Source organism: Homo sapiens, chromosome 6, assembly GCF_000001405.40.
Source record: "Homo sapiens chromosome 6, GRCh38.p14 Primary Assembly".
Classification (NCBI taxonomy): Eukaryota; Metazoa; Chordata; class Mammalia; order Primates; family Hominidae; genus Homo; species Homo sapiens.
The window spans coordinates 65,566,933-65,590,171 of record NC_000006.12 but is presented as its reverse complement, the minus strand read 5'-3'; the positions used below and the strand labels follow the sequence as shown (position 1 = coordinate 65,590,171).

Below are 23,239 nucleotides of genomic sequence, written 5' to 3'. Positions count from 1 at the left end.
ATTGACACTCATCTTGCTACATCTTCAGAATCATTTTACAATTACACTTAATATTAAAGTGGAATTGTGGGAAAACACATAGAATTTTATTAAGCACTAAGGTCTCTAGTATTGTGCTGTAATCCTTTCTTTCTTTCTTATATGCTTTAAAAATGTCCAACGCGTTCATTTTGCCAATGGTTTTGCTTTCAGCATATGATTTTTTAAATTATAAAGATATATTTAACAATTGTAGACATTATAAAGACATATTTAACAATTATAGAAATAATTGATTTCAGAAGTAACACATTAATAAACATTAAGCCGAAGTTAAAACATAGGCCATTATCACCCCCCAAAACCTTTAACATTTATTTCTAATACATTAGAAAATAGAAATGTCAGGAAAATGGTAAAATGCTACATTCAGAGAAAGTGTTTTTTCTTAGCTGAATTATTAGAAATATTAATATGTACTTTTAAGATTTAATTTAATTTTTTTAAGTATACAATCTAGTTTGGTTTTCTAGGCATTCTAGAATGTAGCCAATTTCTAAAAAATAATAATCTGGGCCTTCAATACAGCGATAAGTCCAATTGAAGTTTATATATTGGCTGTTTGAAAAAATTTGCTACGTGAGAGTACAAGCAGAATTCAAGATAAGAATCAACCATTTCTACCTAGAGAGGTAGTGAGTGTGTGTACAAGTGTGTGTACTTAAGTGGGTGTGAGGGTAATCATTAGAAGGAGAAAGTATTTAAAATAGATATTGAAATAGAAGTAAAATTTCAACTGGAGGTAAAGAAGAAAAAGATAATTGCAGACTGACGAAACAGGCTGAAGAAGAGCACTGAGTAAGGATCGTCAAAGAGTCAAATGAGAGGAATTCAAAGCAGTGCACTCTGGCCAGAATGCAACATGCAGAGTGCCTGGTGCTTTAAAGGGTTGGTTGGAAGTAGAGTACAACATACACACAATGCTCTGCTTAGGATCTTGGGATCAGAGAAAAATAGTTTCCATTCAGGGATAGTGACTGTAAGCAAATCCTGGTAGGAAGTCACAGGGCATGAGGAACACACCATTATTCCTTTTGGAAGTTAAGAGGTTACTAGAAATTTGAGTGGTGTGATACAGGAGAAAATAAACTTATCAGGAGGGGAAGAAATGGAAGTAGAAACTTTTAAAGAATGATGACTATTATATAATAGCCTCATTTGGCTTAAAAAGTTAATTTAGGGGTTTCAAAAATATAAAAGTCATTGATTTGCCTCTAAGATCATATATATTTCACTTTTTAAAAAGAAAGCCTGATGTATATATCCTATTAATATATCAAAACTATCCAAATTATATATGATCCCTCTTGAACACATTGGCATGCCATCTGCAGAATGTTAGTTTAGGAGTTATAGAATCCTGCAAGAGACACGTAGTTATGATGAATACTGTTTCATTTATTTTTATACAAATGTGTCAATGTAGCTCTCTGAAAGGCTTCCCAGAGGAGCCCATCCCTTTGCCAAAAATATAGGAATGATCTTTCTTTGAGAAAGTCTCATTATTTTCCTGTGAGTAGGTATTTTTAAGTAAAATTCTGTGTCTAATAATATTATATTTCGAATACAGAGGCACGATATGGACAGGGGGAAGGTTTAGAAATAGTTTAAAAGAGATCAGTGAAGGAAACAGACAGGTAAGTGTGACTGATGCCAATTTGCTGAGACCTCAGAGGCATAAAACTGCTTCTGCCATCTCCACAGTCTTAAGAGGCTCAGCAGATACTCCCCCCGCCACATGACAGGCCCACATCTGGAGATACCTCTAAGGATAAAGTGACATCTCTTTCTTTATGTTAGCCTGTTAGATTTTATATTAATAGTATTTGGCACAATAAGAATATGATTTATGGGAGAAAAAAATCAGTAAAAATGTTAAATGAGGTGGATAGAGGTTTATGACACAGAGGAAAAGAAACACAATACAAAAATATGTGGCAAGAGAATTTATTCAGTGATGGCATGTGATACACAGCAGGAAATTTCATTATCTAATTTCATACTCTCAATTCCCTTTTGGATCAAGGATTTTAGAATTTAATCACTGTCACAAAATTATTCTTCTAAACATCTTTCTAATAGTAAATCTTAATACTATTTCCTCAATCTTCTCTAAGGGGAAAAGTAAACAACCAGCTGGGCACCACCCTCTGAATGATTTATTGTTCAAACTTAAGATAATTATTATTACTCTGCCATCTTTAACTTTGATAATAAAAGCGTAGTAATTTCAAATCTTGGAACTTCATCCACATCTTTTAATTTATGAAACTACAACTATAATAAGTTGGTTATATCTCACACAAATTTATACTTACATTGAACTTTTAAAAATATTATTGCATATGAAAGTGTAATATAATATGCTGTTTTATTTTTGAATGAAGGTTTACAGTTCATCCTTTTATGTTTTCTTTTTAACTCTTAACTCCAAATACTGTTGTCCCAATAGAAAGGGATTTATGTTCGCCTTTCGTGTAAGTCCATTCTCACACTGCCAATGAAGACATACCTGAGACTGAGTATTTATAAAGGAAGGCAGTTTAATTGACTCACAGATCTGCAGGGCTGAAGAGGCCCCAGGAAATTTGCAGTCACGGCAGAAGGGGAAGCAATCACCTCTTTCTTCACATGGCGGCAGGAAGGAGAGAGCTAAGGGAAGGGGGAAGCCCCTTACAAAAACCATCAGATCTCATGAGAACTTTCTCACTATCATGAGAATAGCACTGGGGACATGGCCCCCACGATTCAATTACCTCCCATGGGGTCCCTCTCACGATACCTGGGGATTATGGGAACTACAATTTAAGATGAGATTTGGGTGGGGACACAACTGAACCATATCACCTTTTAACACCATCACATTAAAAGCTTTGTTAGTTCTCTTCGGCTATCTCCAGTAAGTAGTAAGTTGAGCCAAAGGATTATAAAACCAATGATGATAATAGTGTTATACATGGCAGCAAGGATTGTACTATAATCTAAACAGCTGGCTGTTTAGTTTCATGATTAGTCTTATCAAATGTTGCTTAGAGAAACATCTTCTCAATGGTAGCCTAAAATATGGAACATTTAATGCATATACTTCAAGATATTTTATATTTGAACACTCAGATTTTAATAATCTTTGTCTTCTAAGCTTTGGAAATAAAATAAAAGCATGTATTTAGAGTTAAGTGATCCATAACTTGAATTTTAAAAGATGTTTGACATCTAAGAAAAAAAATCGTACTGAAATTACTAAGGCATTTTAGTTGAACAGAAAAAATACATCTAGTTAAAGATAAACTGTCTATCATAGAAATTTTAGTGGCTCTAGATTTAGACTTGCTTGTAATAGAATTGGACAGGGAATGTACACACTACTACTCAATATGTCAATGGGTTTATTTTTTACTTTACAAAATTTCTTTATTCTCTCTAATAACAAATATTTTCCTATCAAAATTATATTTCCTTAACTTTTTAAGTGCAATTCTTATTCTGTGGTGGGCATGAACACACTTCTTTATGCGTTTCATTCTTCGGTTGTTTCAACCTAATTGTCAGTATAAAAAGTATGTTGCTACTCAAATGTTCCACAGTTCTGACAATCAGTTTTGTCTCTAATGGTGAACTTGACAAGAAACAAATGCAGGTATGTTCTACATTTAAAAGTGCTGTCCTAATTCCACAATGGCTACATTCCTTAAGATAGGATACCCTTAATCTCCAGCATCTCAATAGTTGCCCCTTTTGGTTATAAAATTATTCATAGAATTTAATTACCTAAATTTCAATTTTAGTTTTTAATTCTTGTTTTAAATTACTTGACCAAGAGATCAGTGTAAGAGCAGTGCATATTACCATATTAATTTGAAATTATCTACCTTTGTTGTTGTTCTATAAATCCTTCTGTTCAGTTAAAAGCCTCTTCTGAAATTCTCTATGTGTATAGTTACAAGAGAAACTATTTTGATTAAAGTAAAATGAAGAAATTACATCCAACAAGATACCCTCTCTCCCAACCTCTCCTAATGCAGACATTCCTGAAACCATAAAGAAACTGTAGAATTCCCCAAAATGGAGCCTGAAACCACCAAATAAGTGAGTGGCCACATAACATGGAATGTTAAATTAAATATTGATTTTCCTCCTTCTATGAATAGCTAGGTGCACAAGTAATTGCTCTTTTTGCCTTTAAAAGTAATGGTAAAAGCCACAATTACTTTTGCAACAACCTAATAATAAAATATTTTAGTAACAGGCAAATTCATATTGAGTAGTTACTAAACCTTTTAGTATTTTTTTCTATAAGTGAAGCTTTTATTTTAGCTCTTACAACAATAACTGTAAGACTCTCATATAGTTTACTTTTATTAAAATCTTCTATTAATCTTTTCTAGGTAAAACTCATTCATCATTGAAATACAACATACAGTCACATAAATGTAGTCTCATATGCCAGACAACCTTAATATTTGGAAAAGATGTTTAAAATTGTCTTCTCATTATGACAAAGAATGTTATAATATTTCTGCTTCAAAGAGTACACTAAAAACTGTTATTGAAATAATATACTGAATTGCATTGTATTATTTATTTAACATTTTTATATCACTTCAAATTCTTTACATGAATAATAATTCAGTTTATTTTAAAAATATTTTAATGTACATTTTTGATTATTTTAGTTTTAAAATTATCAATATGTGTTTATACCATCTAGATTCATGAATTGAGGATTATTGAAGCAAGTCTTAAATTCCTTCAGTCAGTCACCCATGAAAATGAGCCAGTCTGTTTATTTCTTTTGTTCATTCATTTAAATAAATAATTGTGCTTTGTCAGAGATGAATACATTAGCAATAATCATTCGAAAGAGCTATAACTTTGGTAAATACAGAAAATGATGACATGAAATGGTTTATGTGACTGTTCATACATTTATTTTTAACTGTGTTCCATTTCATGTATTTATATTGGCATTCTTGAATTATCGAATTAATGCTTTATTGTAAGTATTTTCTAATAAATTAGAAAGTATTTTCCTGGTGGTCTTAGTAGTATTTAAAATTTAGAACTTTAGTAAAGCAAATAACAATGGACCACACTTTTATCTTGTAAAATATCCTGCAGAAGCATGAACAGAAACATAAGATACAAATACAGTTTGAACAAAATTGTACTTTTATTGAAATTATAAAATCACAAAGTTTGGAGACAGAGAGATGAAAAATGTTATATATATATATAATATATATAATATTCCCATAGTGCTAACTTCTTAATAGGTTTATAAGTAAATTGTATTTGTGTGTATACATGCATGTGTAAAAGACATATATATTATTCATGCTTTAGAAGTGATTTAAATGGATTATAAAGATATGTATATCATCCATAATATTCATATTATAATTATATAGCAACGTAAGATGTTATTGTAAGACTGGATAAATAAATGCCATAAACTTTGGATGGGGACCTCCACATTGAAAAGTGAAAGATTAGCCTTAGCGTAGTATTTTCAAAGAAAAATGATTCGTTTGAAGGTATTTTATAGAACATTCTGGATAATTCAGTTGGAACTAAAAGTTACTAATTCTTCAAATTTTTGTTTGAAAAAAACCTAATTGGTAAAAAGGCATCTCAGCCCCTTACTCTACCTCATGTTCCCCAATTAACTCTAAAAAACTCATCCTGAAATCCCAGATATAGAAACCATAAATACCGCCTGTTCTAGGGTCTCCTAATGTTGACATTACTCTTTTGGATTGGATAATTTTCTGTTGTGTGGAGTTCTCCTGTTCCATTTTACCTAGTAGATGCCAGTATTGCCAGCCCTAACGCCCTTCCCACTGTTGTGATATAAACAATGTCTTCAACTGTTGCCAAATGTCCCATGGGGATGCAAAATCATCCAGCAAAGAACTGTTGATCTAATACAACCTACCTATTTTCCAGGTAATAAGACTATGATGCAGAAATAGTCCATGAGTTATTAAATTAATGTAGCTAACTAGAGACATAGTATCAAAGATAGATGGCTGGGGTTCTTTTTCAGTTGTGTTTTTCTCTATTTGTCATAGCTGGCTGAAATATATTTCCTATTCACCCTTAGAATTCATCCAGTCAACAAAAGTTTCTGCTTTAATTTTCTGTAGTCTGAAATTTTTTTTTTTTATTTTAAGTAATATGTTCATAAGATATGTTAGGTCATAAGATACATTAAGTAATATGTTCATAAGATATGTTAGGTAGTATGTTAATATGAACATATTAACATTCTGTCAATATCCCTATTTTGTGTAAAACATAAAACCAAATATAATATTGTCCACTCATGTAAACTGTGAATATAAATGCACTTGTATTTTAAAAACAAATAACTTCATTATTTAAAGAAAATAATAGGAAGGTCCAATTGCATCAATTGCTTTCTTAAACAGAGAGCCACTTTAGACCATTATAGGAGCAGGTTCATTTATGAATGTATTAGTTGCTGATTTGTTAGCAGTTGAAGCTTTCCATTTTCCACTTTAAAAAGTGAAGATATTAATGAAAATGGAAACTCAAACTTTTTTTCCCTCCTGTCAGTGACCAGATGGAGTTCAAAGCTATCCAAATGAAATGAGAGTCATAGAATTAAAATATTATTTGTAGTGGAATACCGGCTCGGACTTGCCATTTTGTTTTACTTTTGGCATCCTTAAGGTGTATAAAACACTACAAGAAAACTTCTACCACTTATATAAAGTAATTCTTACTTAACGAAAAGCATAGTAATTGTCTTACTGAAAATGTGACATAAATATACCATTAAACTATCCTCTGCATTTTTATATTTAATATTCTCTATAAAATTCTTCTTACGGCAAATTAGTTTAAGAGAAAACAATATTAAAATAAGTATACTTGAGCCCTCATTTAAAATCTGGAGTATTATAACCTAGATTTTATTCCAGAGCAGAAGGGAATTAAAAAGATTTTACAGCAGTATTATCTAACAATTAGAACAGTACCTTTGAGTTATAGACATGGAATTCAAATTTCTTTTTTTGTCACTTATGTAACTTAAATTAAATTTAAAAATAACTTTTAAAATTGCATTATAGGGATCAATATTACAATCCGCTTGCCATTACTGTGATGAAATGAAATAGTAGTATACCACTATCAGTATATTAGTAACATGAGTGTTAGCTACTATTGTTATAAAGTCATTCCTAGAGTTTGCAAGTAAGATACTAGGCATAAACATTTTAATGTGGTTACATCTTTCAAAAAACAAAACAAAAAATGTCCATAAAATAGGGATAATTATAACATTTCTTAGGTGTATTTCTTTGTCACTTATTACACATGTAATCTGTCATGTTTGTACAGGAGTATTCCAAACTACTTGGTTATGGTATTCTAAATTTGTGAAATCCCTCTGTTGGGATAGGCTAAATGAGTTTATTTATTTCTGTAGAATCATGATGGTGTGTGGATAGTGATGGGGGAGTGTATGGGTTTGTTGAAAGTAAAGAAAGATCATTTTATTTGTTTTCCAATGATAGCAAAATATCATGTAATTCCCTCAGTCAAAAGTACAGATGAGTTTCATCCATTTCTTTGGTTCAGAATGACATGCAGAAATGAATACAGTTGACATGAGAGCTAGCCTTTGTTCTTTGAAAACTAGTCTGCCTAAGCCTCTATAAACAGGACTAAGGGGAAATTTATAAATTCGTTAGACAATCTTAAAACTGAATTTCTATTTATTAAGTTTCCTGGTCCTGACTGTGGGTGATGTCTTAATACATAACTCCAGAAATTCATGAAGTAATATAAAGTATTCCCTATAAATGAAATAACTTCACACCTGCTTTTCCAACAAAACACTGGTAAAAGATCAAATGTTCTCAGAAAGCTTTTATTTATTTATTTATTTATTTATTTATTTATTTGTTGAGATGGAGTCTCACTCTGTCGACCAGGCTGGAGTGCAGTGGCGCCATCTCAGTTCATTGCAACCTCCGCCTCCTGGGTTCAAGCGATTGTCCTGCCTCAGCCTCCCGAGTAGCTGGGATTACAGGTGTGCACCACCATACTTGGCTAATTTATATATATATATATTTTTAGTAGAAACAGGTTTTCACCATGCTATCCAGGCTGGTCTCAAACTCCTCACCTCATGATCTGCTGGCCTCAGCCTCCCAAAGTGCTGGGATGACAGGTGTGAGCCACCATGCCCAGCCAAGCTTTTAGATTTTAAAATCATTTTGAAAAAAATCACCAATAGGAATCACAGTGCACTAAAGACTTGGATGTATACATAATAGAGATATAATGGATTTACCTTGCTACTAATTTTTTTATTTTTACAGATATTTATTTGTCATTTTTATAAATGATTTTCATTATTTACTAATGGGACTAATAAAAGCATGATGTATATACACATTTTTGGTTAGGTGAATATAGGTACTTATTTAAGTATTACAAGGATTTTGGTTAATAAGAGCATCACTAAGGAACTAAGATCATAGAGTTTACATAAAGCAATTAACAGTAACATTAAACATTAGGAGGGATTGTTGTAAAGCAACATTTTTGTTTCCCTCATTGACTGGCACACCAAGTATTGAACATTGGCAATTATTGTGTTTCCCTGGCAAAAATTTTACTTTGACCATTCCTGAGGCCTACTAAGAATAATTCTGGCCATTATAGATGAAAGATATATATTTATTAATAGTTTCTGATTGTATAGAAATAGAGCAAATATAGCATTAATTTTTGTTAAGTGGCTTTTAAAACGTTTGCTGTACAATAAGTCAGTTTTTCTTTCATGTCTCTCCTCCATATCACTTTATAAATCATATATTTGTAAAATTCTTGAACCAGTCCTAGTCTACATGAGCCACTTTTTTCCCCTCTATATTTAATAAAGGATGGGGTGGGTGAAGACGAGTACATGAAATATTACTGATTAGACCCACAGCAAAGTTGCAAAGAAGTCCCACATCAATTTACAGTTTCTTTGATTAAGCCATTAATAACATGTATTAATTTCTAATTATGTTAATAGATAATTCCTTAAGAGATCCATTATGAGAAATTCACTTTTTTAAAAGTTGAAACAAAGTGCCAAAATTACTCATTGCAATTGAATAGATTAAAATATGTCAAATTATATTTAACCACAAAATTCATTAGATGACATTTTAATGCTTACAATTTGAAATACTGGAATATTAATATATTATCTATATTTCAGGCTTACCTTGAGATAAAAAATGGCCTTTAATATCCCTGTCTGGGGGAGACATGACACTTGAAGTTTTAGGATGAAGTATTTAACATTATAAATTTCTGGTTAGAACATTAGCTATATTAAATTGAAATAGTAGCTTTATATAGAACAATGGAATCAAGGTTAAAATTGTATCCAATTATGCATTATGCCATTTTGAATGGACTCTGTCTCATTTCATTTTAATTTTTATACAGATCTATGACATTCAAATAACAGCACAGAGTAAAGTATTAATCATTAATAATTGCTTCAAAGAATGCAATGTGTAGAGTACTTACAAATGCTATTTTATCTATGACTGATTAGTTATATTTTAAGCATTCTACAAAATTAGGTTTTCAATTAAAAGAGAATTCTTACATTTATTGTCCTAAATCTTCTTAGTCTCTCAATTACTTTTGTAATTTGTTGTCTACAAATCTTCCTAATTTCAGGCTAGTAGTTACTAGACCCAATGAGTTCTGTTTGGATTCTAAATCTTGAATAAGCACAGCCATATTTTTAGTAACTTTATTGATCGTATCCTTAATATTTATAGTTGTTTTCTCTCTGAGTTGAATTAACTTTTATTTCAAAGCAATCTTTTCTCCAAATAGAACATTTGCAATTTTACTAAATACACTCCACTTTTGCTGAATTAATCTTGGAATATACTTGTTGATTTTGAATAATATTTTAATGGGCTGTTCCTTCCTGAGGATACAGATATTTTTCTGTGACATTTTTCAAAACCTAACAAAGTACTGATGCATGTGTCTTAGGTCTGTAAAACAAAATTATTGAATTAATTATATTCTGATATATTATTTAGTAAAATGCCATGGTAATGGAGATACTTAATATTTACATGACCATGTAGATACAATAACCCTATTATTTAAATTTTATGTAACTTACCTTTCTGAGTAAATTTCACATTCACATTTAAAAGATGGAAATTACAAAAGAGTAGAGTGAGAAACGTCTCCTTCCCTTTTTTGTCTCCTGGCAATGCAAATTATCTCCCTGGAGACAAGGTTCTACAGACTGAATTTTGCCCTCTCAAAATTCATATGTTGCAACATTTACCCTTAGTGTGACTATATTTGGAGATAGGGCTTTTAGGAGGTAATTAACTTTATGTGAGATTATAACTGTGGGTTTCTAACTCGATAGAATGGGTGACCTTATAAAAAGAAAGAGACAGATTTCTGTGTCTCTGCCTCCATAGCACATACATAGGTAAGGCCACGTGGGGCCTCATGGAGAAGATGGTCATCTGCAAGGAAGAAAGAGAGGCCTCACCAGAACCTCACCGTGCTGGCACCCTGATCTCAAAGTTTCAGCTTCCAGAACTGTGAGAAAATGTATTTCTGTTGTTTAAACCACCCAGTCTATGATATTTTCTTTTGGCAGCCGAGCTGGCTAATACACAAAGACCTTTGCCGTCTCTGATATATATTTCCAGAAATATATTGTAAATATATGTATTTTCTGTACAAATATCAGCATACTGTTTATATTCCCCCTTTTCTTCACTAAAATTATACTTTGGAAATCCTTGTATTTCAATGTCTATAAAGCTGCCTCATATTCAAGTTTCTAAATCTAATATATGTTGTATCTTCTTGATTCTTGTAACTGGCTTATGTTTTTTAAGTACTTGCTATTTTCAAGTATGCTTAAGTTCCCTAAGAAAGGAACAAAAAAACACATGTATACAGGCAAACGAATAATCGTCAAAAGTTTCTCATTAGTCAAAGTTGAGTTGGCCATTAGGTCACTGCCATATTTGAAGAAAACTTAATCCAGTCAGAGCAAAAGTAACTGGACAAAATGTGTTTTCTTTTGTGTGCTGGATTTATTCTTACACAGCTTTGGAAAATAATTTAAACTAGAAACATACTAAACAGTTTTAATTATCTAATTAAATACTGTGTGACCATAAGAGAATGGGGTACGTTGTAATCTTTGTGCTTCTTTAATGCCTCAGTCAATATGCAAGAACATTTTATAAAAGGATTAATAAATTAGTTATAGTCCTCAATTTTTTATGAGGTTATTTTGTTGCAAGATTAAATTAAATATGTGAAAGATGAGTCCAATTTCTTTTCTGTTTTTGTAAATTTAATTTTTAGTTAAGTAAAAATTATGTATATATTTGTGGTATACAACATGTATTGGTATGTGTATAAATTGTGAAATAACTGAACCAAGCTATTTTACCTATGCATTACCTCACACACTTATCATTTTTTTTAATACTGAGAACACTTCAAAATCTATTGCTTTGCAATTTTTAAGTATACAATATATTGTTATTTACTGTGGTCACCATGATGTATAATAGATCTATTATATTTATTTCTCTAACTGAAATTTTGTGTCCTTTGACCAACATCCTCCCAAGAATTCCACCCCAAAGCCTCTCGTAACAACAATTTTACTCTGTTTCTATGAATTTGACTTTTCTAGTTTTCTACGAATTTGACTTTTTTAGTTTTCACATGTAAGTAGGATCATGCAGTATTTGTCTTTCTGTGCCTGGCTTATTTCATTTAACATAATGTACTCTAGGTTCATCCACGTTGTCACAAATGATAGGACTTCCTTCTTTTTAAAGGCTAAGTAGTATTCTATTGTGTGTATATATATATATTTTCATTATCTGTTCATCTGTAGATCTACACTCCTGTTTAATCCATACCTTGACTATTGTGACTAGTGCTGCAAAAAGTGCAGTGTAGACATATCTCTTTGACATACTGATTTCATACTCTTTGGATATATCCCTATTGGTTAGATTCCTGGATCATTTAGTGCTCCTATTTTCAATTTTTTGAGAAACCTCCACACTGTTTTTCATAAGGTCTTTACTAATTTATATTCCAACAGGTGTACAGTTGTTCCCTTTTCTTAACATCCTCTCCAGCAGTTATCTTTCCTCTTTTTATAATAACTATTCTAACAGGCATGAGGTGAGATCTCATTGTGGATTGATTTACATTTCTCTGATGATTAGTAATTTGAGCATTTTTTTCACATACCAACTAGCCATTTGTATGTCTCCTTTTGAGAAATATTTATTCAGGTATTTTGTCCATTTTTTTTTTTTTTAAAACAGGCTTTTATTATTATTAATATTATTGAGTTAAGTTCTTTATATAGTTTGGATATAAAGTCCTTATCAGATGTATGGTTTACTAATATATTCTACAATTTGGTAGACTGCCTCTTCACTGTGTTGATTGTTTCCTTTGCAGTGCAGAAACTTTTTAGTTTAATGTAATCAACTTTGTCTATTTTTGATTTGTTGTCTGTGTCTTTGGGGTTATATCCAAAAACATTATTACCCTGACTAATGTCATGGAGCTTTTCCTCTGTGTTTTTTCCTAGTAGTTGTATAGTTTCATGTCTTATGTTAAAGGCTTTGATTTATTTTGAGTTGATTTTAGATAGAGATGAGAGTCTAACTTCATCCTTTTGCATAGGGATATCCAGTTTTCTCAGTGCCATTTTTTAAAGACTGTCATTTCCTCATTCTGTGTTCTTGGAAATTTTGTCAAAAATAAATTTACCATAAATGCATGGATTTTATTTTTGGAGTTTCTATTCTGTTCCATTGGACAACAGGTTTTTGTTTGTTTGCTTGTTTTGCCAGTACCATGCTGTTTTGATTACTATAGCTTTGTAATAGATTTAGAAATCAGGTAGTGTGATATATCTGGCTTTGTTCTTTTTACTCAAGATTGCTTTGGCTATTAGGTTTTCTTGTGTGTGTTTTCATTTAAATTTTAAAATTATTTTGTCTATTTTTGTGAAAAATGTCATTGAAATTTTGATGTAAATTGCATAAAATTCATAGATTGCTTTGGGTAGTATGGATATTTTAACAATATTAATTATTCTAATCCATGAAGAGGAGATATGTTTTATTTATTTATGTTTTTTCTTTAATATCTTTCATCAGTGTTTAGAGTTTTCAGTATACAAAGTCTTTCATTTCTTTGTTTAAATTTATTCCTAAGTATTTGTTTTATAGCTGTGGTGAATAATCTTATTTTTTGACTTTTTAAAAATAGTTTGTTGTTAGTGCATGGAAACACTAATCAATTTTGTATGTTGATTTTGTATCCCGAAGCTTTACTGAATTTATTAGTTCTAACAGTTTTTGGATGGAGTTTTTAGGGTTTTCTATATATAAGATTATGTAATCTGAAAACCAAAATGATTTCACTTCTTGTTTTCTAAAGAGGATGCATTTTATTTCTTTCTCTTGACTAATTTCTCTGGTTAGGACATCCAACTCTATTTTTGAATAAAATGGGGAGAGTGGGCATACTTGTCTTATTCCTCATCTTACAGGAAAATCTTCCAACTTTTTACCATTTAGTATAATGTTAGCTATGGGCTTTTCATACATGGCCTTTGTTGTGTTGAGGTACATTCTTTCCATATTTAATTTATTGAGAGTTTTTATAATAGAAGAGTGTTGATTTTTTTCAAACTTATTTGATGCATGCATTGAGATAATCATATCACTTTTGTCCTTCATTTTGTTAATGTAGTGAATCACATTTACTGGTTTGCATATATTAAATTATCCTTGCATCCAAGGATAAATCCTCCACTTGATTATAGTAAGTGATCCTTTTAGTGTGCTGTTGAAATCTTTTTGCTGTTATTTTGTTGAGGAATTTGCACGTATGTTCATTAAGATTATTGACCTGTAATTTTCTTTTGTTGTAGTGTGCTCTCTGAATTTGGTATTTGGGTAATGCTGACTTCATAAAATCCATTTGGAAGTATTATCTCCTCTTTAATTTTTGGAGGAGTTTGAGAAGAATTGGTGTTAATTGTTTGCTAGAATTCAGCACTGAAACCATCAAGTCTTGGACTTTTCTTTGATGGAAGAATATTCATTACTGATTTAATCTCTTTACTTGTTGTTGTTTTGATCAAACTTTCTTTTTCCTCACAAAATAGTGTTGGTATTTTGTATGTGTCTAGGAATTTATCCATTTTATCTAGGTTATCCAATTTGTTGGTGTATAATTGTTTAAAGTGGTTTCAAGATCCTTTATATTTCTGTGTTATCAATTGTAATATCTCCTCTTTAATTTCTGGTTTCATATATTTGAGTCTTTCTTTTTTTTCCCTGTTGGTCTAGCTAAAAGTTAGTCAATTTTGTTTAGTTTAAAAGAACACAAATTTTAATTTGGTTGATTTCTTTTCTGTTGCTTTTCTCATGTCTATATTATTTATTTCTACTGTAGTCTTTATTATATCATTCATGCTACAAACTTTGGGTTTATATTGTTCTTTTTCTAGTTCCTTGATATGTCTGTCACATTAGGTTGTTTATCTGGGATCTTTTCCTTTTTCTTTGTAGACATTTATTACTAAACTTCCTTCTTAGAAATACTTTTGCTAAATGTTTTAATTTTGAATATGTTGTGTTTCCATTTTTGTTTCTCTGAAGATATTTTTAAACTTTTTTCTTTTAATCAATATTTATTTATTTATTTATTTATTTATTTAGAGAGGAAGTCCCACTCTGTCACCCAGGCTGGAGTGCAGTGGCATGATCTCAGCTCACTGCACCTTCCACCTCCCAGATTCAAGTGATTCACCTGCTTCAGCCTTCGGAGTAGGTGGGGTTACAAGTGTGCAATACACACTTGCAATACAAAAAAATTTTGTATTTTTAGCAGAGATGAGGTTCCACTATGTTGACCAGGCTGGTCTCGAACTCCTGACCTCAAGTGATCCATGCACCTTGGCCTTCAAAGTGCTAGGATTATAGGCGTGAGCCACCACGTCCAGCCATAATTTATTCTTGACCTGTTTGTTGCTTAGGACCATGCTGTTTAATTTTCAAATAGTTCTATTCTTTTTTGAAATTTCTCTTACCATTTATTTTTAGTTTCATAACACTATGGTCAAAAATATATTTAATATGATTTCAATCTTCTTAAATTTGTTAAGACTTCTTTTGTGGACTAAAGTATAATCTATGCTGGAGAATGTTCCATGTGCACTTGAGAGAAATTTGTTTTCTGTAGCTGTGGGTTAAAATGTTCTGTATATGTCTGTTAGGCCACTTGCTCTAAAGCATATAGTTCAAGTCCGATGTTTCCTTACTGATTTTCTGTCCAGATGATCTGCCCATCTTTGAAAGTGGAGTATTGAAGACTCCTACTATTGTTGTATTACAGTCTATTTCTCTCTTCAGATATATTACTATTACTTAGCTTCTCCAGTGTTGGTTATATATGTTTACAATCATTACATCTTGATTAATTAATACATTTATCATTATATATTGCCCTTCTTTGTTTTGTTTTAGAGTTTTTTACTTAAAGTTTATTTTACCTGATACACGCATAGCTAGCTACTCCTGTTCTCTTTTGGTATCCACTTGCATAGAATATCTTTTCCATTCTTTCACTCTCAGTGTACATACATTCTTATGTGTTATGCTTTTTTTCTCTTGCTACTTGCAGGACCTTCTCTTTGTCTTTGATTTTGGACAGTTTGATTATATCGTGTCTTTGTGTAGTCTTGTTTGGACCGAATTTGATTGGAGACCTTTGACTTTCCTGTACCTAGATATTTGTTGTAGCTAGTGGGTTGCTCTTGGCACTCGGAATGGTTTAGGGTCCCACTAGAGGTGCCAGTGGCACCGATGTCTGGGTGGCACACATGGAACAGTCACAAAGCTGAGGACTAAAGAATGAGAATGTGTGGAGAAACTACAGTTTTGGGAACTGGGGCAGTAATAGCACTAGTGCCTAGGGCGCAGGGACTCCCACTGCCATGTTGGTTACTGTCTGTGAGGCATGGATGATTGTGAACTAGCCAGAGTGCCAAGAATGACAGAATAGGCATGCACAGTGTTAGAGCAGCCCCAGGACTAGGATACTGCTTAACTCTCTAGGCAGCTGAGCTAGTGCCTGGGTCATAGAGGCTTACACTGCCACATTAGTAACAGTATGCAAGGTGATCATGAAACAGTATACTCATGAAATAGTTGAGAAGATGAGAATGGGAATGCAGGTGTGTGCAGGTTTAGAGCAGCTTCAGAAACAGGTATTCATCACAGCTGGGCTGATGTTCAAAGCATGGGCATATACTGCAAGAATTTGGCCCTGGAGCCTATGTGTGCAAACTAACATCTTATAGCTGTGGTTCCAGTATCTGAAAGGTAGGCTGTACCAGTACAGCCACAGAGCCTGGAGCTGAAACATGGGCACTTACAGGGAGGCTGGGCTTCAGGGTCAGGTTTTGCACAGAATACCTGCGTGAACATATGCATGTATCTGTGGCAGTTCTTTTCCTGAAGAAGTTTCTTTCCTGAGGTGACTGAACAGCAGCCAATTCTTGTGTGGGAGAAGAGTAAACAGTGGCGTCTCCCTCTCTGGGTTCCTCAGCCAGGATAGCTATTGATTCCTTCAGTGGCAAAAGATGCTGGTCTCCTTTGCAGAGCAGACTTGTGGAGACCACAGTGGTTCCGACCATGTAGCTGATACCAGTAGCTTTTACATTTCTTCTTTGCTTGTACTGACATCTTGCGTATTCTGATCTCATCAGTGATCCTTTCTATATACATGTTTTCCATTTTTGCTTCAACATGTTGTGGCAGATTCATTAATGAGCTCTTGAGCCCTCTCTGGCCTATTTTTGATTTTGAATAGCTGTCTATAGTTTTTCTGAGGGGGAGATGAGAGCTGCTATGCCCACTCCGCAATCTTTGTGACATCACTCCCAAGGTGAATTTCCTGATTCTCATTGCCTATATTAACATAACCATAAAGGCTAAATTATAGATGTTTCAGAAGCACACATATTAGATCTTTAAGAGCTTCCATGGAATTATCTCCTCAGCCCATTGAAGTAAATCATCAATTGTCTTGATAACATCTATCAAAAAGCAGGTATAAGCTGCCTGGAGAAAAATGTAGTTTTGTTTAATGGAAAGCATGCAAATAGATTTTTAAAATGCTTAATCATGGTTTTTTTGCAATTTTTAAAATAGATGTTCCTGTATAAAACATAAAACTAATGGGGGAGTACATATATAAATATATTAATGTTTCGCTTAGCAAAAGGTACACATTCTGAGAAATGCATTGTTGGACAATTTTGCTATTATTGTATGAACATCCAAGAGTATACTTACACAGCCCGAGATGGTACTGACTACTACATACCTAGACTACATGGTATCGCCTGTTGCTCTGATCACCATCTTATATACGGTTCATTATTGACTGAAATACTCTTATGTGGCACATGACTGTATATTTTAATTTCATTTCCCCTGCATATGATAAAACTAGTAGAAAGAAATATAATTTATCCTTCCCCACATCGATTTTTCATGTGTGACAAAAATTTCTTCTAATTTGTGGCTTATCATTTAATTTTCTTTACTTATGATTTGTATTTTCTGAGACTTAACAACATTGTTTATTATTATTTTTGGCTTCTGTGCCTTTTTAAAGAACTGTTTCTCTATCTAGAACCAAGACATGTATTTTAAAAGTTTTTAACATTATGTTTCACATACATGTATTTAATTTACAAGAAATTGATTTTTGAATATGAAAGACTGCTATATAAATTTGTATCTCCGTAAGGATATACAGTTATTCCAGCATGATTTATTGAAGAGTCTATAATTTTCCAGCTTGTCTACACTGTCATATTTATTCAATAATTAAACGCCATATTCTGTTTCATGAATTGATTTAAAAGGAATTAATGGAGTAAAATTATGGTATCTTACAAGCATAGCTTTTCATGTTTTGATATTCACCAGAGAAGATTTTCCTTTCTCATTTTAGGTAATGTTCCTTAAAAAAAATTATTTAATGTTTGTAACTTTGGGCTTTTGCCTTTCCATATGCATCTCATTACATCTTTTCAAGTTTTACAAATGATCTGCTGAAAATTTGATTGAAATTTCTTAAAATCTATTGATAAATTTAGGCATAATTGACATCTTGAATGTATTAAACCCTATATCCATAAACATATATTTTCATTGATTTGGATCTTCTTTACTGTTTTTCGAAGGTTTTTTAAAAAATGTTTTTTATAAAAGCTTTCTATATAGACTGAACTTGGGCATTATACATTTTTATCAAAAGCATTTGAAAAATTTCATTATCGAACTATTGTTGTTTAGAAATGCAACTGATCATAGTACATGGAATTTATATTATAGTGGATCAGAATATGTTACCCGGGACTATGGCTATAGGAGACCAGATTATGTCATCCCAAAATAAAATATACACTTTTTTTGACCTAGAAGATTATTTTGAGAAACAGCAGATATAATAGAAACTCTAAAGCCAGAGTAGAAATTACACTTTTATAAGGGAAAAGTATATTTATAAAGGAAATTTCTATTTGTAAAAGTCTATCCTTCTCTGTACCAGAAAGAGTATATGACTCTAAATCACAAGGTAATTTTATCTATGGAGAAGGCACTGACGTAAATCTGCCTATCAACTTTTATTCTTGTTCACCTTGGTTTTCATGGTCACCTTGCCATAACTTACCTCTCAGATATCCTTCTCTTTTTATATATATATATTTTAGCTGAAGATGGTATTTAAGTTTAAATGCTGAGCTACCCCTTTGAGAGTTGATTGCCCTGTCTTTTCTCCCATGTATGTATGAGATATACATGTTTGTTTTTCTCTTGTTAATCTGTCTTTTTTTACAAATGCCCCAGCTGAAAGCCTAGAAGGATAGAATGAAAACTATTGTTTTTCTAAAGTATAATATGTGTAATATATATTCTCCCGCCCCACCAAAGCAATTATTCAGTATTTATGGCAACCTTACAGAACATAACTGATGTGAATAACGAGAAACAAATGTACATGTGTAATGGAGTTTCTAAAACATATGGCCTCCAAGTACATTTCTTTTAGAATATAAACAAAGGAGCAAGTAAAAAATACATTGAAAAAAATCTTCAGTTACTTTTAATCTACTGAAGACATTCATTTTAAAAGGTATTCACTTCTATTTATTTCTAAGGCTGAAGTTTCCAGAAGCAGTCCAAACAATAATGCAAAAGGAAAGGAATGAAAATAAACAAAACCTTTCTTTTTATTGAGACTTTATTCAGCTTCCATTTCTAGATACACTGTAGGAAAGAGTCCATCTCTGTTTATCTTAAAAGTTATTGGCTATTTTTTGTTGACAGTTTTAACAGATTCACTTAGTGGAACCTAACTAGACTGCTCTGTGACAGTATCAGCAGGAGTTCTCACCCCCAGTTCAAGCAATCTATAAACCCAGCATGAGAGATCATGATAAAAGTCAGTTGTGAAACTCATACAGTGGGTGAAGTAGATAGTAACTCTGCATTTTTCATGAATTTTGAGGGGAAAAATGGCACAGCAGTTAATCACAGCATAATAACTTCAAAATGACTTGCTGATGAGTTCCCAAAAAACGTCCTAGTAAATCATTGAAGAGTATAGAGAACCTATTTGCTAAGCATAATTCAGCATGTTTTCTGCATAGGCTATTTATGATGCTAATTCATTACTATTCTTAAGAAAGGTCTAGGCTCTTCTTTCTTTGCAAGCTTCATTTAGTTGGTAGGGAAATTGTTCAGTAATCTCGAGTATACTGGCAGAATTGGAGGAGGAAATCTATCCCCTTGAATACCTTTTACTTTTTCCCTAGAGGAAAATAACTTTTTTTTATTTTATTTTTTATTTTCCACCTATCCCCACACACCTAGAGCTGAAAACCTGCCAGGCATTGAGGTTGGAATAAGAGTCCATACTTAGAATATTTGAATCTTTCTTTCATGGCTGACTCCTCTTTCCCTCATTCCAACTCCCTTGTCCTTCCACATCAGTGTAACCACTCAACAGGTTCATTTTGCCTGCTGCCTAGATTGAGCTGATTTATCAAGATAAAAGAATTAAAATAGAGAAAGAGCTTAATTCACACAGAGCAGTCTGAAAGGAAGACCTGAGTTTTATTATTACTCAAATTAGTCTCACCCCCAATTCAGAGACTGGATCTTTTTGAGGATAATTTGGCAGGTAGGGGGCCAGGGAGTGAGCATTGCTGATTGGTCGGGTTGGAGATAAAATCAGAGGGAATCAAAGCTGTCCTTTGTGTTGAGTCAGATCCTGGGTTGAGACCACAAAACCAGATGAGCCAGTTTATTGATTTGGGTGGGGGCAACTGATCCACTGAGTGCAGAGTCTGAAGAATATCTTGAGCACCAATCTTAGGTTTTAGGAGAGTGGTGTTAACCCTGGGAACAACTGAGGAGGTTCGGAATCTTGTGGCCACCAGCTGCATGGCTCCTAAGCCATAATTTGTAATCATGTAGCTAATTTGTTAGTCCTACAATGGCAGTCTGGTCCCCAGGCAAGAAGAAGATTTGTTTTCGAAAAACTGTTATTTTCACTGGTGTCCGTGTGAAGAGATCACCAAACAGGCTTTGTGTGAGCAGCAGGGCAGTTTATTTCATCTGGGTGCAGGCGGGCTGAGTCCGAAAAAGAGTCAGTGAAGGGAAATAAGGGTGGGGCCGTTTTATAGCATTTGGGTAGGTAAAGGAAAATTACAGTCAAAGGGGGTAGTTCTCCCTGGGCAGGGGCGGGGGTCACAAGGTGCTCAGTGGGGGAGCTTTTGAGCCGGGATGAGCCAGGAGAAGGAATTTCACAAGGTAATGTCATCAGTTAAGGCAGGAACAATACATTTTCACTTCTTTTGTCATTCTTTAGTTACTTCAGGCCATCTGGATGTATACATGCAGGTCACTGGGGATATGATGGTTTATCTTGGGCTCAGAGGCCTGACAGTTATCATCGTTGTCTCAAAGTTAAATTGTAAACTAAGTTCCTCACAAAGTTAGTTTGGCCTATGCCCAGGGATGAACAAGGACAGTTTGGAAGTTAGAGGCAAGATGGACTCAGGTCAGATCACTTTCACTGTCATAATATTCTCACTGTGATCATTTTTGCAAATGTGGTTTCATCAGTGTTTTTTATACGTACATTTGTCTCTAATTCTTCAATTTTGTATTCTTGAGATAAGTCATGAGTAACTTTTGTCAATTAGAAAAGACAGCCTGACATACACAGCACTGTTTCTCAACTGCTTCTCCTGAGAAAATCAAATAAGTGAGCCACTTTCGAAACAAAAGCAGCTTGGAGGACATGACTACATAGAAATTTCCTAGTCTAATTTTGTCATTGAAAAGTCATGCTCAACTCTTTTGCTATTATTTTCTGTTTTTAATTTAAAGTATAATTTTCACTTATGTAAAACATAAACATGTGTTAAAAAGTTTATTTAATTGTTTAAATAGCTAGTGAGGGGGCCTTGGGCTCTTGGTCCCTTAAAGAGTCATTGAAAAATCCCTGACATGAGGCAGATAGACTGATAAGAAAAATGGCATGCAAATGTATTTAGTGTATATACACAGAAGCCTTTAAAATGAAGACCCAACTTTCCAACGAGTTATGAGGAAGCTTATATACCATCTTGAGGTTACAAAAAAAAAAAAGAAAAAAAAGAAAAAAAGAAAGTGGGAGCTCAGATTCTGGTAAAACAGGTTATGGGAGAGGGGAGAAGAGGAATTCTATTGAAGGACAATAAATGGTTTCTAGGGAGGAATGAATGGATATGGATCAGGAACACAGATTAACTTGTAAATAGTTCAGTTGGGGATTTAAATAATCCTCAGAGACAGTCATCATAATTGTAAAAGGGTTTGTTCAGGAGTTGTTACTCTTGATCTTCTTTTCTGCAATAGATAATGAGGTAATAGGGAGGGGGAAGAAAAAATAATTCTTGTTCTAGGTGGGAAAACGGAAACTTCAACATCTGTGGGAGATACATGGAGAGGTGGGGAAAAATCAGAGAACCTGAGCTTCATCTTCAGTTCAGCATGTCAAAATGTCATATTTTGGGGTATTGTTTTCTGAGCCACAACATTAGCAAGCTAATTAGGCAATTATGAGTTCAGTTAAGGGTCCAGAGAGGCCCACTTAAGGGAGCAATATTCAAAGACAGTATTTGAATAATATAACTAGCTTAGAAAAGAAACTGGTTAAAACCCTGCATAACTATAAATCCGCTAGGGTTTATCTTTTTTACTACCAAAATTTATTTTAATTGGTCTGAAAACTAGAGGTTAACATATAACTTCACCAAGTGTAAGGCTTTCATTAATAGCAAATATGAAAAATAAAATAATGATACATTTCCTAGAAACCTAAATAATCCTTACTGGACTTGAATTTTTGAAGCAATCCTTCAGTGGAATATTAGAAGACATTCAGCGATCATCTGGCCTTATTTAAAAAGCTGCATCATTTTTATTACCTACTCTTTTTAGACTACAGAGTTTAGATAGAATGTTGACTAATAATATATATTTAATAAACATCAATTTATAATTTAAAATTTTTACTTCTCTTTTATTACTATACAAATATAAATACTTTTTCATTTCATTTTGGTCACCATTTTAGAAAATGTATCTGTTAGAACAGGTAACTTATATTTAATTTATATGTTTATATTATATATGTGTGTGTATATATGTATATATATATATTATTCATACACATATATATTTCTGACAGTTCTGAAGAGTGGGCATTCCCAGGTTGAAGTGCCTGGATCTGGTGACAGCCTTCTTGCAATGTTTTCTCATGGCAGAAGGTGGAAGGACAAGAGAGGGCAAGAGCAAGAAGGGACTGAGCTAGATTTTATAACAATCCATTCCCACAATAACAGCATTAATCCATTCATGAGGGCAGAGCCCTCATGATCTAAGCACCTTTATTTGGCCCCATCTACCAACACTTGAACTGGGGAGTAAGTTTCCAACACATGAAATCTGGGGGGACATATTAAAATCATGATGATGTGCTA

General features: G+C 32.9%; 1 protein-coding gene across 4 annotated transcripts in view, besides 1 other annotated feature; it reads left to right on the top strand.

The window, feature by feature from the left end:
- EYS (eyes shut homolog) overlaps positions 1-23,239 on the top strand; it is a 1,987,247-nt gene that overhangs the window by 117,055 nt on the left and 1,846,953 nt on the right. The window contains exon 1 of one of the 4 annotated variants that reach the window (NM_198283.2): positions 10,368-10,432. The exons of the other annotated variants lie outside the window; for them this stretch is intronic. The gene's annotated coding sequence lies outside the window, so the exon portion shown is untranslated. Of the gene's footprint in view, positions 1-10,367; positions 10,433-23,239 lie in introns of those variants that run through there. 4 annotated transcript variants of the gene reach the window in all.
- Positions 20,693-21,332: an enhancer, noted in NCBI's record as "OCT4-NANOG-H3K27ac hESC enhancer chr6:66278733-66279372 (GRCh37/hg19 assembly coordinates)". NCBI's record gives its function as "activates a minimal SCP1, AML or CMV promoter by ChIP-STARR-seq in naive H9 embryonic stem cells {active_cell/tissue: H9 hESC(naive)}" and the evidence as "EXISTENCE:reporter gene assay evidence [ECO:0000049][PMID:30033119]".